At 38.3% G+C, this 2,486-nt stretch overlaps 1 annotated feature.

Moving 5' to 3' along the window:
- Positions 692–1,891: an enhancer, noted in NCBI's record as "MED14-independent group 3 enhancer chr10:2008580-2009779 (GRCh37/hg19 assembly coordinates)". NCBI's record gives its function as "activates an origin of replication core promoter dependent on BRD2, BRD4, P300/CBP and CDK7 cofactors, and independent of MED14, by STARR-seq in HCT116 cells {active_cell/tissue: HCT116}" and the evidence as "EXISTENCE:reporter gene assay evidence [ECO:0000049][PMID:35650434]".

Below are 2,486 nucleotides of genomic sequence, written 5' to 3'. Positions count from 1 at the left end.
TTTTTCAGAATTGGGGGTAGGACTTTAATTAGTAGCACTTTAGAAACAATGCAAGTAGGTCTGAGGCAGAGATGGTAGCTTTTCTCGTCTTTGCTTTAAAAAAAGCTACTAGACCTTGGGCAGCTCTTCAGTATCTTTGGACACAGGTAGTGACCTGGGGAGAGGGAGTGGCTTGCGTTGATTGAAGCTCCGGCCTCGGATCTGAGCTCCCTGTCCGTATTCCTGCTCAGGCCACCTCCCATCTCACAAGTGAATTCATCTCTTGATGCTTCCCCTTTCTCCATTTATAAAATGAGAGTAATGGAAATACCTACTTCACAAGGCTGTCTTACGGTCAGAATAAACTAATATTTCCAAATATTAGTAAATGTGCTGGAAAATAGTAAATGCTATGCAAAAATGGCTTGTCAGTCTTGCTATTAATTGTGATACATACAATTATTTCCTTATAAAAGGGAAGGATAGCTGAGGTCTCTAGGTACAATGCAATTCAGAAATGTTACAATACTGAGCAGCCAATAAATGTTACATAGCAAATCTTCTGGAAATGCCAAATTATGAGAGAAATGATGTATACTGTTCCGCATGGCAGAGTAACTAGTCACTAAATATCAAACATTACTCTCCTTGAAACAAACCGTTACCCTAGTCCAAATGGAACCTCAGGCCCTGTTCTGAAATCCGCACATCTTTTGGTATCCATTAAGGAATCTATACTGCAACTGCTTATTGGATTTTTGCATATTTATATAGTCTTATCAGTTCATAGATGCCTGGTGTAGCTTTTGACTCAGCATAATGCCAAGTTCAGGCTACAGTGGCTTACTGCAAAATTTTCAATGAGCTAAATATCCCCATGCATAAAACAATTAGATTTTGCATTGTTTAGAATGTACAACTCTTTGTATCTTTTGTCCAAATAAATCTGATACTATTTTGGTATATGATTCTTATCTTTAGTAAACCATTTAAAGGACATTTGGACATCCTTGTTTCTCCTGATTCATAGCACAGAAGCAGAATGTGCTGTTCTCCATAACCATGGAGAAAATTTATTCCCCACTGACCTGCCCACTGAAATCATGTCCTCGACGCAGCTGCACGCGGTTAGAATTGGATCCTCCCACCTCCCCCAAGAACACCCATCTCTTCTCATATTGTGGACATGGATTTATTTTCTTATGGAGTTGCATTAGAAAGAGATTTAATTATGAACATCTAAAAATGCACATTGTGAAACGCAGCTGAACGATCCCCAAAGGCTTAAAGCAGGTGAAGTCCATGGACAACGTTGAAGAGTGTGTCCCAGGGGATCCACTCCCCTGCTCCTTCCCGTGCGGATGACATGCCTTGGCCACGTGAAAAGCACAACCCACATATCCCGGAGTTCCAGCTGAGAACAATGATTCAGAGATCAGGGCATGACGAGCTTTTCGATAAAATCAGCTTATGGAGTTAAAAGACTGGCTTCTGACTGATCTCCTTAGGATATATTTAATCCAAAAGGAAAAGTCACCGGAGAGTGCCAGCAAACTACTTGGATAATAAGGAAGTTTTAAAAATAGAAAGGTGAGATCATATAGGGTAACAATCAGAGTTAGAGCTGGTCTAGTTTATGAGTTATTGCATATTCTTAATTCAGAAAGCCACAGACATATGGTTAAAGATAATGTGAATTTTCATGTGGGCCACCGTCTTTCTTAATTTAGTAAAATCTCTGGTCACTCCCAGATTGAAGATAATAAAATACAACCTTATCTAAAAATGAAGCCGACTCCTTAAAATGAAAACATGTTCAGACAAGTTATTATACTTACAATTTCCCTGACTTCCCCCTGTAGCCAAAGGGATTTTACAACTTCTCTTTCAAATACATCTTTCCTGTATGACCTTCTGTCTTTCAAAAGTCACTTTCCTTTACAAACATATGTTCATCCATTTCTATCCTTCCTTCTTTTCCTCTTCTCTTCTTTAAATATTTTCCAATTTTCTTCAAACTATTCAGATTTTTTTTGTGCATTTCATAATTCCTGCACTTCCCTAGGAACAAGGGTCTCTGAGATGTACTCAGCGATGTGTGTGTTTTCTGACATCTTCATTCGTACAGTAATTGGATGGACCCAATGGTGATCTGCAGGTTAACTCTGGTGATTCTCCAAATCTTCTTTCAATGGCTCTGTATCCTTTTCTGTCCCACTCCTATTAATTGTGTTCTAATAATTTTTATAACAAAGAACTGACAGAATAGCAAGCTGATTTTTTTTTTTTTTTTTTTTTTTTTTTTGCTCTGCTCTATCTAGGCCTAGAAGAAAAAAAAAATACAGCAGCTCTCAACTCCTCTTTTCCTATATCAAAGCTAATTTCCTTGCATTCCATTTTCCCAGACATCTGCTTCTCACTATATGACAACAGGAGAGAATAAACACTATTTTGGGGGGAATGTTTCTAAATGAAATGCTGAAAGAGGCAACTGGATTTTAGCTCTA

This window comes from Homo sapiens, chromosome 10 (assembly GCF_000001405.40).
Source record: "Homo sapiens chromosome 10, GRCh38.p14 Primary Assembly".
NCBI lineage: Eukaryota > Metazoa > Chordata > Mammalia > Primates > Hominidae > Homo > Homo sapiens.
This window is presented reverse-complemented; position numbering and strand designations above follow the sequence as displayed.